This window comes from Homo sapiens, chromosome 2, assembly GCF_000001405.40.
Source record: "Homo sapiens chromosome 2, GRCh38.p14 Primary Assembly".
NCBI classification, from domain to species: domain Eukaryota; kingdom Metazoa; phylum Chordata; class Mammalia; order Primates; family Hominidae; genus Homo; species Homo sapiens.
Window position 1 is genome coordinate 72,936,159 of NC_000002.12, and position 12,237 is coordinate 72,948,395.

At 57.0% G+C, this 12,237-nt stretch overlaps 1 protein-coding gene across 21 annotated transcripts in view, besides 3 other annotated features; it reads right to left on the minus strand.

Moving 5' to 3' along the window:
- Positions 968-1,645: an enhancer, noted in NCBI's record as "H3K4me1 hESC enhancer chr2:73164255-73164932 (GRCh37/hg19 assembly coordinates)". NCBI's record gives its function as "activates a minimal SCP1, AML or CMV promoter by ChIP-STARR-seq in primed H9 embryonic stem cells {active_cell/tissue: H9 hESC(primed)}" and the evidence as "EXISTENCE:reporter gene assay evidence [ECO:0000049][PMID:30033119]".
- Positions 1,998-2,499: an enhancer, noted in NCBI's record as "H3K4me1 hESC enhancer chr2:73165285-73165786 (GRCh37/hg19 assembly coordinates)". NCBI's record gives its function as "activates a minimal SCP1, AML or CMV promoter by ChIP-STARR-seq in primed H9 embryonic stem cells {active_cell/tissue: H9 hESC(primed)}" and the evidence as "EXISTENCE:reporter gene assay evidence [ECO:0000049][PMID:30033119]".
- Positions 5,711-6,699: an enhancer, noted in NCBI's record as "H3K4me1 hESC enhancer chr2:73168998-73169986 (GRCh37/hg19 assembly coordinates)". NCBI's record gives its function as "activates a minimal SCP1, AML or CMV promoter by ChIP-STARR-seq in primed H9 embryonic stem cells {active_cell/tissue: H9 hESC(primed)}" and the evidence as "EXISTENCE:reporter gene assay evidence [ECO:0000049][PMID:30033119]".
- The window catches only part of SFXN5 (sideroflexin 5), a 129,677-nt gene continuing 123,317 nt past the window's right edge, over positions 5,878-12,237 (minus strand). For all 21 annotated transcript variants that reach the window (NR_138476.2, NM_001371739.1, NM_001371738.1 and 18 more), the window contains one exon: positions 5,878-8,941. Coding sequence is in view for 20 of the 21 variants with exons in the window: in NM_001371739.1 (NP_001358668.1) it covers positions 8,864-8,941 (78 nt within the window). In the remaining variant the exon portion in view is untranslated. The remainder of the gene's footprint in view (positions 8,942-12,237) is intronic.

Consider the following 12,237-nt stretch of genomic DNA (forward strand, 5'->3'; position numbering starts at 1 on the left):
TCTCCCACCTCTGCCCACCTCACTTGTGTCCAGTCAGTGCTAGAAACCAAAGGGCTTTGTCCCATCCCAACACCCCCTCTCCCTCCATCAGTCAGGAATGCATTCTGCACATCTTGAAAGTCCTAACATGGATAAGTCCAGATTAACCCACATGGCGACCCTCACTGCCAAGCAGGTGGGATCACTTCTGGGAGCACACATGCCCAGGTGTGGAAGGAAGGTGGGAGGAAGAGTCATCCTTTTGGCCCCAGTGGGGGACAGAGAAAGGGGTGAGCTGTTCCTCTCAAGATCCTGCCTCACTTGGTAGGGGGAGGGGGTCCAGGAAGATCACAGCAGAGCACCCCCTGTCATCCGAATAAAGGGCTGGAAGGGACCCAAGGAAACCTGCCAGTCTCCCGAGGCCAGGCCTGCGGGGGGCGGGGCGGGGAGTCCCTGCCGCACTCCCATCCACCCCCCATGTTGTGCCTCTCCCTGCAGACGGTAAATATTGGTGTTGTGACTTCATTAATAAAGGCTTCTGTGAGCCTGAAAAACATGGAATCAGGATGAACTATTTTCTGAGCTGCGGGCTTGCCAGGTTTGCTAATTTGGGAGTTTTTGGGCCCTCTCCAGGGAACAAACCAAAGTCTCTCTTGAAGAGACACAGATGCAGCCGAGAAGGGAAGAAGACGAGGACTGCTGCTCCCTTCCCTCCCCCAACGGCTCCTCCCACCTGGAGAGCGGGTGCCCTGCAGAGGGTGAGGACCAGCAGACACTGGCCTGCTGGTGCCTCGGCGTGCAGGTGCTGCATGGCCAGCCCTTCCCTGAGGGAGCCTAGGTCAGCCATTCCCTTCAGCTGGGCTGGCCTCCCAGGGCCTGCAGATCGCGTGGGCTGAGGTATCATGAGCACCTGTAGGAGCTCCAAATTGTACGCAGCTGAAGTAGAGGGAGCTCAGGGGACCTGTTCTGAACCCTGGTGGCCTAATCCACACGCCTCACCTTCAGGGACTGATCTTTGCACATCCTCTTGTCCGTGGAACTTTCCAGGACTCATCCCCATGGCCTTCGCAGCAGTATGGCTCACGCTCCTAGCATCTCTGCACTTGGTTTGCACCAACTCCTCCTCACACGTGCTGGGACCGCTTCCCAGGAGGCATCAAGGCGCTCTGGCTAAGTGAACCGGGCTCTGCCCAGAGGGAGCCGGCCAGGGCCCACAGGCCTCTGCTGTAGCCCTGCTCCAGGGCATCCCTGCAGGCAAGGGGAGAGGAGGGGAGGGGCGGCCAGCAGGCTGAGCGGTGCAGGCCCAGCCAGCTTTCCTGTCAGACGGGCGCTGCCAAGGCGGAGCCAGACATCGGAACAGGTTTAACCAATTACCCGAGCGCCCCATCTGCTGTCTGGGGTGTGTGTGAGGGTGAGTGCATGTGAGGGTGTTTGGAGTGTCTGGGAGGGCTGTGGGCGTGCGTGTGAGTGTGACTGTGTGGGTGCCTGTGGGCGTTCGGCTGTGCATGTGTGCGGCTGTGCACGTGTGCCGTCTGTGGCTGCATGGCCCGGTCATGCCCCCTGATTTGTTAAAAACTGGCTACGGCTTACAGTCTTCCTGTCCCCCAGACCTTGGGGTCTGTATGGACAACCCACCTGGCATCCCAGCCTCTCATTCCCTCATCTTCCCCTCACCACTCTCTCTCAGGGATGATCAGAGCCCAGAATGGGGCCTTCTCTCAAATCACACATTCAGGTGTCTTTTCCCGTCGAACCCTGAGCTCTTCCCATTTGCTGGCTCACTCCTTTCCCTCTGCAGCAGTGCGGGACCTTGCGGGGGCCCCCAGGCCACAACCTCCTCTGCTCTCTTTCTGACACATCCTTGTCCCACTATTCCTTGGTTGCACCTGCCTGGCAGAATTGAAACCCTGCTTGAACCTGCTTTTCCACCTGCCCGTGCAGTTGAGTCCATGAGGACAGCAGGCAGGCGTGCGGGATGGCGCCCCTCATTGTTTCGGGTCCCAGCCTCAGCTGAGGCCTCGCCCTATTGAGAAGTCCTCTGCCACCCTCCCTCCAAGCCTCTCTTCCCCCTGACTCAGCAGAGGGCCTTACTCCCACCTTCAGAGACAGCCCTGGAAGGGGACACCTTTGTATCAGTCAGATGGTACCTTCAGATAGAGCACTTGGAGGACAGTTTACTACAGGAACAATTAAATTTTGGGGAGCCCACAGGGATGGTGCAGTACCCCAGAGCTGGTAATAATGGGGAGCCCATATGGCCCTGAGGCCTGAAGAGGAAGGAGGCAGGGGCAGCTACTGGAACCTGGAGGAGACAGCTGGCTGGAGAGGGCCCCCAGGTAGGAGCCGTAACCTTCAGTACAGAGGGGCCCAGAGATGGCAGGAGGGACCAGGAGGAAAAAATCCCCCAGCGTCACTCCTCCAATCCCCCAGTTTCCTGCTGGGACTCCTGGTGGTGGAAGCCAGCCAGCCAGCCCTTAGTCAGCTTCCAGGGACAGAGCAGGTGGACAGATGCAGAATGGATCTGGAGGGGTGGGGGCTCCTCACCCTCAACCCCACGCTGCCTGCAGCCAGCCCTTCCTCCCCACCTGCCTCCTGTCACCACCCGCCACTTTCTCTCCTTCTGGCCCAGGAGAACCCCACCCCTAACCCCCACCTCCAACCTGGGCTTCAGAGTCTCCCCACCTGGAGCGGCTCACTGCTAGGCTGTTCTTCCTCTTTCTGCGACACAGTCTCTTCTGATTCTTGCCTGAGGGGTCCACCTTCTAAGCGCCTCTTCAGCTCCATCTCTCAATGTCCCACTTCTGCCCATCAGCCAAATTTCTTGAAGGAATTAGCTATGCCGGCTGTCCGTGGTAGTCCTGACTTCTCGACCCGTGAAGATCTGTCTTTTGCCCTGACCACATCCCACTGAGGCTCCTCTCTCTGGGTCCTCCATGGGGCCCGCCTTGGTCCATGTCTCCCTTCACCTCTCGGCCTCAGTGAAGCACATGGAAGCCCCTTCTACCTGAAGCACTCCCATCGCTGTCCTCTGGAATGCCACGCCCTCCCTGCCTTCCTCGCCTCTTGCCTTGGTGTGCTGGGCCGCCACAACAAAGCACCTCAGACTGAGTGGCTTCGACAACCAAAATTTATTTCTTCCCAGCATTGGAGGCTGCCAGCCCAAGATCAGGGGTTAGCAGGGTGGGTTTCTTCTGAAGCCTCTCTCCTTGGCCTGTGGACAGTGCCTTTGTCTTCACAGGAGCTTCTTCCTCTAGCATGCCTGCAGCCCAATCTCCTCTTCTTAAAAGGACATCAGTCATTTTGGATTCTCCTTTGGATGAGAGTCCACCTTAATAACCACATTTTAACTTAATTACCTCTGTAAAGACCCTGTCTCCAAAGACAGTCACATTCTGAGGCACAGGGCATTGGGACTTCAACAGATGAGTTCTGGGAGGACGTGGTTCAGCCCTCACACCTCCCTTATGGCTGAGCTTCCTTGTCTCTGCCCAGGCCTCAGAGGTGGGGCTCCTCAGAGCTCCTTCCACCTGGGTGGCCATCTCTGCTCCTCCAGCTCCAGATGCTCCCTAGACGTGGATAACAGACACATCCACATTTCCCATCCCTACCTGTCTCCTGAGCTCCAGACTTCCTCGTCTCTTGGTGTCCACTTGGTTATCTCCCAGGAACCTCCGATGCCTTGGAAATCAGAATGCATCCCCTTTCCTGTGGGTTTGTTCTTCCTTCTCTGTGCCTTAGCTCAGAAATGGCCCCTTCTCTGCTGCCTCAGGCAGGAACCTAGGGTCACCCCTTACTTCTCTCTGCCACCCTCACGGAGAGCTGAGCAGTCCTGAATCTTCACTTCTCTCCTTCCCCTTCCCCATCCCCACCACATGGCCCAGGCCCCATCTTCCTCACCAGGACTGCCGCAGGGGCCCCTCACCCAGTCTCCCCAGCAACCTTGCTGTGACCACTCCACCCTCCACTCTGCAGCCAGGTCACTCCACTTCTCTACTTAAAGCCTCAAGGGGCTCTCCGCTGGCCTTGGCCCAGCAGCACCTGGTCACACCGCCGCTCCTGGGCCTCCTCTCTATTCTCTAATGACATGGAGCTGCTTCAGGGCTCTGCTGTACTGTCCCTCCCTCTGTCACACTAACCTATGAAGAGGAGGAGAACCAGCATCCATTGGCCTGGGACGGAGGGTGGGCCCCTTCCCTCAGTTCCCCATGGGTTTACATGGGGTCTTCCAGGAGACGGTCTGGTGGTCTGGGGCCTGTCTGTCCATTTGTCCATCTTCTCTTTCCTTTGCTCTCTTCTCCACCCCTCCGTAAGGCCCAGGGAACTGGGGTGGGCCCCAGATTCTTGCTGTGGCTGAGGAGGTGTCCTCGTGGGGAAGGGAAGACTGGCCCTGGCCTTATGCAAGGCTGCCAGCATCTGCCTCGGTGTGCAGGGTGGAGAGTGAACACTTTTCAGCCACTGCTCGGAGAGACTCTTGGTTCTGCAGGGAAGGGTGGGCGTGCAGGGGTGAGGCCTTGTTGGAAGTGGCTGAGGCATTCCTGTTTTGGGAGCTAATTGGTGGCAGAGGGATGGCTGAGATGGCAGAAGCTGCAGCAGCTTTAGGGGACTGAGGGAGCTATGAAAATGAGGCTAGGCCCCTGGGGCATCAGGAAGGGTCACTCATCGTGGCCTCCATCCCCTTACATTCTGACTCTCCTTCTAACCGTGGCCTGAGTGAGAGAAGGGAGGTCCGATGGGCCAGGCGGGAGGGGATGGGGGCAGGGGAGGCCACATTCCTGGAGTGTTAATGATCTCTGGGCTGGGCAGGAGCTGAGCCCCCAAACCAGCTAAAAACAACAAACAGCTCCCAGGAGGGATTTGTGTCTGTCCTGAGAGTCAAGGATTTCCGCCCCCGGATGGAGGCTGTGGCCTGTGGAGCTCTTAGCAAAGAAATTCCCCAGAGACCAGAAGCCTCCTGGCCCAGAGGCATCACTTTGCAAACAGCTCCCTCCCCTCTCCCTTTCTCTCCTCTCTCTCTAGTGGGGAAGGTCCCAGCACCCAGGAGGGGAGGCAGGCCCTCCCCCACACACCTGGGAGCGGGGAGAGGAGTCTGGGTGCATTCCTCCTCCAGCTTTCCATCCTTACAACAGTCCAGCCAAGTGATGCTGTTCGTGGCATTTTATAGATAAGGTCACCAAGGCTCAGTTAGAGTAGGTGTCAATAAATGTCTGACCCAATTGATGGGTGAATAGAGGAAGCATCTGGCTAGAAGCCCCAGTCATGCTGGGCCAAGCTGCGGCTGGAACTGGGGTCTATCTGACCCCAGCCAGGATGGCTTTCCACCTCCCTGCCCGCTTCTCTGCAGGGCTGGACTTGGGAACTCTGGGGGCTGCCTGGAAGAGGAGGAACCATTGCTATCAGGAGATGCCCAAGTCCTAGCCCCAAGGGATAGTGGAGGAGTTAAGAAGAGGCAGAGATCTCAGGGCTGGTACCATGCACACTGCAGCCATGAAGCACCTTTCCACTTGGCTCAAACCTTCCCTCCCTAGGAGGCCTCTCCTGGCCCCAGGTGGTCCAGAAATGACCCCCTCCGGCCTCCCAGCCTCATGGATATAAACAGTATGGGAATCTACCAAAAGTCTTACTCACGTTCCTTGAGGGCGGGCTCCTTAGTGAGCGCTCAATAACAGCTCTGTAAGGGGAGTCCTGCAGAATTTCACTGCCCTGTGTCCTCACATGGTCTCCATCCTTTCCTCTCCCCTTCCCTCTGGGCCTCCCAGCTGGCCCGATCCAGCCTGGAACCTAGGTCTGCACCTTCCCTGGAGGTATTCCCACAAAATCCTCAGGCAGTCCTTCCCTTTTCCCACTGGGTTCCATACGCCACTCCCCTTCCCACCCACAATTCACAAAACCACACCCTGATGCTTTAAATCCCGTATTTATTGCCCAAAGCTCATTAGTATTACACAAATCACATAGATTGAGAAATTTTCTGAGGTTAAAAAGACGCTGCAAAGGCCCCTGGGAGTGGCTGAGGCTTGCGTGCGGGGGCCTCACTCTCACTGGGCCAGGCTTGAAGACCACCCTGGGTCTGTCCACCAGCCTTTTTCCTCCTCTAGGCTCCTGCCCTTTTCCCAGGCCAGAGGCCAGAACACCAAAGAAGTCGGCTCATAACCAGGTGAAAGGGGTCCGTCGGCCAGCTCGACTCCACGGCCAGCTTGACATCTTGGTCCCTGCACCCTCACACTGCTGTCTGGGAATGGAAGAAGGGCATCCCCAAGCCTGAGGGCATGTTTGAAGTGACCAGAGGAGGGCCAGGCAGGGACACCAGGGGTGCAGCACCATCGCAGGCGTGGCTTGTGTTCTCGCACAGCTGGCCAGCCCCGCCCTGACTGTGTCCAGGCTTAGCCTCCACCCCAGGCATGAACCAATCTGCCCCTCAGGCCTCCCTTCCTCTGGCCTCAGCAGAGTGGGGCATGGGTGCTGGGTGAAGGTTTCCCCTCACAGGTCTTTCCAAAGCCAGACCAGGGCCTAGTGGCATAGCCCACTGTCCCTCTGTCACCCTCACCCTAGGCTATCTGGATCCTTTGCCACTGCACCGCCACAGGAGCAGACCCCTTGGCTCACCTGAAGCTGCATTTGGGAGCATGACGGAAATCATCCGGGAGACAAAGCAAATGAGTTATGAGATGCTGAGGCCACAGGCTGGGCCAGGGCACCAGGCCTCTGGCAGGGGGAGGGCGGGAAGGGGTGGGTAGGCAGTTTTGGTCCCAAGATAAAGTGCACAAGAATAAGACCTTATGATAGGTAGGAGCAGGGTGAGCTTGAAGTGAGCTTTTCAAAAGACGACCCAGACATGCCAGCACCTAGTTCAGGCCTAGAGACCAGCACAGCGCAGCAGTCACTGGCATATTCACATTATGGTGGGATTGGCTCAAAAAGGCCTGCCCCTCCAACACCATGGCACCCCCACACTCCCGCTGTTTTGTCCTCCAGGCTTGTCTAACCCTTCTCCCCCTCCTCACGGGCAGCAGGTGGGCTGCTCCTCAGGAGAGTGGCAGGCCCCTCAGGGCAATGTGCTGCAGAGCCAGCTGGTGGGCACCAGCGGCTGGCAGAGAGGCAACGGCCATGCCCATGGAAGGCCCACCTCAGCACACTTCCCCTACCCTAAGATGCCACCCTGCAGCGGCCTCTTCCTACACATGAATGTTCACCTCTGGCCTAAGTCTCCCCTGAGGTGGAGACCCCGGGGGAGGGAGGCCTGGGGCTGCAGGTGGAGGCTTCCATTCTAGGTGGGGTCAGGAGGGGGCTGCACTGAGGCTGGTGCTTCCCCCTGGTTTGGGCCTTTCAGATGAGGGGTCACCCTGCTCACACCCACCCCAGGCTCTGCTTCCCTTTGTACAGCTTGCTCTTCCTTCCTGGTCTGCAAATGGGAGGGAGATGGGAGCCAGCAGCAAGGGGCCTCTGAGGCTGCCAGAGTGAGAGGCGACACATGGGTATGGCCCCACCATCAGGCCCAGGCATCTATGTTACCTCCTCCTCCAGAACTGTAAAGTGTTTGGCAAAGGTCAACTGCTCCCGGGATATGGAGTCACATACACAAGGCAAGGCCTTCTGCTGAGGCCAACTGCAGGTCCAAAGGGGCCTGCCCCCTTCCCAGTCCAGAGTCCACACTGGGGACATGCCCAGGATGACCAGCATCTGAGCAGGACAAGCAAAGACGAGGTCTTGCTGGAGGAGCCAGTGGGAACCCCTTGATCCAGTCTTCTGGTTTCAGACAGGGAGTGGAGGCTGAGAGAAGGGAATGAATTTGTCTGACATCTCACTGCCATTTAGTGACAGAGCCAGGGCCCACTGCTCCTAGGTTGATGCTGCTTCTCTGATAGGTGTCTAAGGAGCTGGCCTAGGCATTCTCAGGCATGAGACCTTCCTGCTTAGAAAGGGATGGGATGGGGCAGGCAGCCTTGGTGGCTGGAGAAGCTCCGCAGAAGGCAGCCAGCCCAGTCTAGCCCCACTCTCAGCCCCAGAACCCAGCATCCAGCCTGGGGCCTGGAAGGAGGATCTTCCCGAAGAGGCCAAGTGCAGGTCCATGGTTCCTGCCAAGCACCATTCCTTCTCGGGGTTTCCTGCCTGGAGCTGGGGTCACTTCAGGGGCCCTGAATCAGTTAGAGCTCCACGAAGGGGGACCCTAGCTCCAGGGTCACTGGACTTCACTCAGAGGGACTGGTTCTGCAGCTCTGGAATGGATGTGGGCTGGCTACATTCAGAGCCAGCTGCCCACAGAATCTTGCAGAGGCCTCCAGTGCTCCCTGATTCCCTGGGCCACTGCCTGAGGACCCTAGTCATGGCTAGTTCATCCTGTGGGGTGCAGACCACCTTCTCTCCCCTCCCCATGCCAGCCCAGGGAGCCATCTGGGCTGGCCATTGTAATATCCTAAATTTACCAGCCTGGCCACCAAACCAGCCCAACTCCAGGCCTAATCTGGCTCGCCTCCACCTGTCCTCCTGCCACTTCTGGTCAGCTGAAACTAAGGCTCAGATTTGATTCTGATAAAAAATAAAAATAAAAAAGGAACCAAAGTATAAAAGGATTCTACTTCTACCCCATGGGCACTCTACAATTTTTCAGCTTCACACATAATTGTGCTGAGTGGAGTTTTGACAACCCCACATAAGGCCCAGAAATGCACTTGATTATTTTTTTGTACGAAATGTGTTAGAACTCCTCTTGCCTATGTTAAAATGTGAATGGGTCAGTCTCCCTCCACTGTAGGTTGAGCACTCTCCCAGGGGGCCCAGGACTGCTGGGGTTGGCGTGCTGCTCCCTGCAGGTGCAGCCGTGAGTCTACGGCCCTGCCCCTCAGCTCCCCGGCTGCACAGTGCTCCGTCCCCAGGCCGCTGACCACACTCACAACCCCTTGTTGTACACCACTGTCCGGCTGCTCGTGGCCTGGGCTATCTCCGGCTCTAATTGGGATGTTTCAATCTGTGGAGAGAGAACAGAGAGGAAAAGTGGGGGAGTGGGAAGGGGCAAATAGTGGGGCTGGGAGCTGCAGTGAGGACCACCCTGGGCCCCAGAGCTCTGCCCCCTGCACCCCCGTGTCCACCCCAGCCAGGGCTCACATGCCCTACCTAGTGACACATCTTCCTTCTCCACCGCCCTCCCGCCGCGGGGCTCACAGCATCCCTTCCAGCCCAGACCAGATCTCTTTCTTCTGATGGTGTGTCCACGTGGGTGGACATCCTACACACTGGCCTCTGAGTTCTGCATCTCCCTCACCCCCAAGAACCATGTCCACTGCACTGCAGACCTACCACAGCCCTGCCCAGGGCCATTCCCTGGACCTGATGACCACCCAGGGCTGCTCCACCTCAACTCCTTCCATCCAAACCCCACCCTCCTGGGCTCCTCAGTCGCCTGTCCTTCCAGCACCCCACTCACTCCTGCTTCTCTGTTTCCAGTCCCCTAGACCTAAGCGCCCACACTCCACACTCCGACCACTCAGTCTTTACATCTTCCCCTGCAGTCCCGATTCCAGGGGCCATCCCTTCAGCTACTCCCTAGCCCAAGGGTCCCTCCCACGCTGCTGGCAGAAGCCCTGCTTCGGAGAACCCCACCATGCACCCCACTCCTACTTGAACCTGACCATGTAATGGAGACCCTCAAAATTCCCTGTCCTTGACTTTGGCTGGACCCCCAACCACTGCAGACAACCACCCCACCCCTGCCCCCATAGCCAGGTCAGCTCCCTCGCCCACTCTCCAGAGGCCACTGGATACCTGCTCTGCTCTCCTCTCCTTGGCCACCCACCCCCTGCTCCCACGCATCCTGGGCAGGTGACACTTCCTCTTATTTAGGGAAAAAGCTGAAGGTGTCAGAGGCGAAACCCTCAGCTTCCCATCATCAAACCCGCTGCCTTCCGTGTCCATGCATGGCTTTCCACCTGCCCTCCTCCCACCCCACAGCTGCCATCCCTCCCCTCGCAGGACAGGACCCCACCTGGCTCCACCTCCCCTGCCCACTCCGGGGCCCCCTCCTGGGTCATCCTCCCTCTCTCCCACCTTTGCCCGTTAGTGTTCCACATGCAGGAACCTTCTCTGATGACACCTCCCCTTCATCCCAAGGCAGGCCCAGCTACTACCTGGTCTCTCTCCTCCCCAGCAGCCACGTTTCTTTAAAAAACTTGGTCTACACTGGCTGTGTCCACCTCCTTCCCTCCCACTGACTTTTCAACCCACAGTAAATCTGGCTTCTGTTCTCACCACACTCCAGAAAAATCTTTCTCTCCAAGGTCACTGCCACCCCCCACTTCACGACACCCACTGCATGCTCCTCGGGGTCCTTGGGGCTTGGTCTGGCTGGGCCCTCTTCTCTGCACATGCCCTGGGTTACCCCCACACAAGATTTCTGCAGCCTTGTTTCTCCCTGGAGCCTCAGGTTCACAGCCGCCTGCCTGCCAAACTTTGCTGTGGATGTCTCACAGGCGCCTGAACTCAACCCACCTGAAATGGAACTGAACCTGCCCTCTCCCCTGGCCCCACTCAGCTCTCCATCTCGGGAATGACGCCGCCATCCAGTGGTGCTCTGCCCAAAGACTCTGGAGCCTCTTTGCGTCCTCTCCCCGTCCCTCCCCACAAGGTCTCATCCAGCCCAGTCCGTCCCCAACCACAGCCAGTGCCGGCCTTCTAAACTGCAAGTCTTCCCATGCCTCTCTTCACTGTGAAATGGCTCCATGGCACCCTGATCCTCAGGGATCAAGTCAGACTCCCGCGCCACCCTGCTCCTTGGACTGGAGACACAGGGCACATGGACTGATTTTGGTTCCTCGCACACCCTGGGCTCTGTCCCCACTCCAGTCTTTGCCTGAGTTGTTCAGAGACACCCCGTCCTACTTCCATTCCTGCCCCTACTCTGCTCTCCCGTCTTCAGCTCATCATCTTTCGTGTCTCAGCTTTAGACACCTTCCCTCCCCTACGCTGGGCGTGGCCACCTCTGTGGCCCCCATAGCTCCCTGAACTTCTCATACCCCACCTCTCCACATTAGATCACAAGCTCCCTGAGGCAGCGGACGTGCGGATCTGTCTCGCCCCTGTGTCCTCAAAGCCTAGCACAATGCTGGTCCACAGTAGGTGCTCCCTCAGTGTGGAATACATGGGCAGAAAGAAAAGAGCACTGGAATAGAATAGGCACTGGAAGACGGGGTTCCCCTGGAGACACCACATCAGCCCCGATGTTGGGCTTTATCTCCAGGGACTGAGCCCGTGGGGATGCCTGAGCCCCTAGCTAGAGGGGGGCAGGTGAGAAAGACACTACTGCAGTGAGAAGGTCCCCGCCGGACATTTGCCCTGGACAGAGTCAAGGAGGCACCAGGCCTCTTGCAACTTAGGTTGGTTGAACTTGGTTCTAGACACCCGCCATATGTCAAGATGTGGCAACCCTGGGAAGTGGGCAGAAGGTGGTACAGGCCAGCCTGGCCTTCGGAGAGCTCTGTCATGTCTGGGCTGTGCACATTGGAGTCCCCATAAGAGGGAGTGTAGTGAGGACTAGAGCTGGTGGGCACAGTGGGAGAAGAGAGGACCCTTCCTCTGTAGTCGCTGGTACCCCGTTACCCAAGTCTGGTCACCCGAGAGGGCCAAACAGAGGAGAGCCAGGCTGAGGGCCCAGGCCTCTTCGCCACTCCGTCTTCTCAAACCACCTTCTCCCACCCCACCCCTGCCACCCCCAGTCCCCTCCACCCTGCCGGCTCCCCTCGTCCCCACGCTGCCACTGACACAATGCACAGCGCCCACGCTTAAAAATCTAAATGCTTTTGAAAATGTTTAACCTAGTTAGACAAATTAGCAAAAATTTGTGCAAAACAATTTAGGTATTTAAAATATTCAATGTTTTTAAAAAACTGGAAAACTGTTCTTAGCTTTCAGCTGCAAAAACCAACAAAATATAACATCCCAGCAATCTTACCATGAGGTGTAACATAACCCTTCGGGAAAGCTGTTAAACAGCTACTGAGGCATCCTGGGAAATAGCACTTCATTTATTCAAATGCACATATGTCAGGCTTTTGCACCATATGTCATTCCAAGCTATTTACAGTAATAATTAAATCTTAATCAACGTTTAACCTCTGTAAAATGTTTGAAGAATCCTAATCACCCTTCAGACTGCACTAATGAAGGAGAAATATATAAACATAAAAGGAAAATGATGCATAGATATCACGCTGGAAAGAACAGTAATTGCAAAATTGTATTTCTTTTAAATATAATCAGTAAATGATGTAA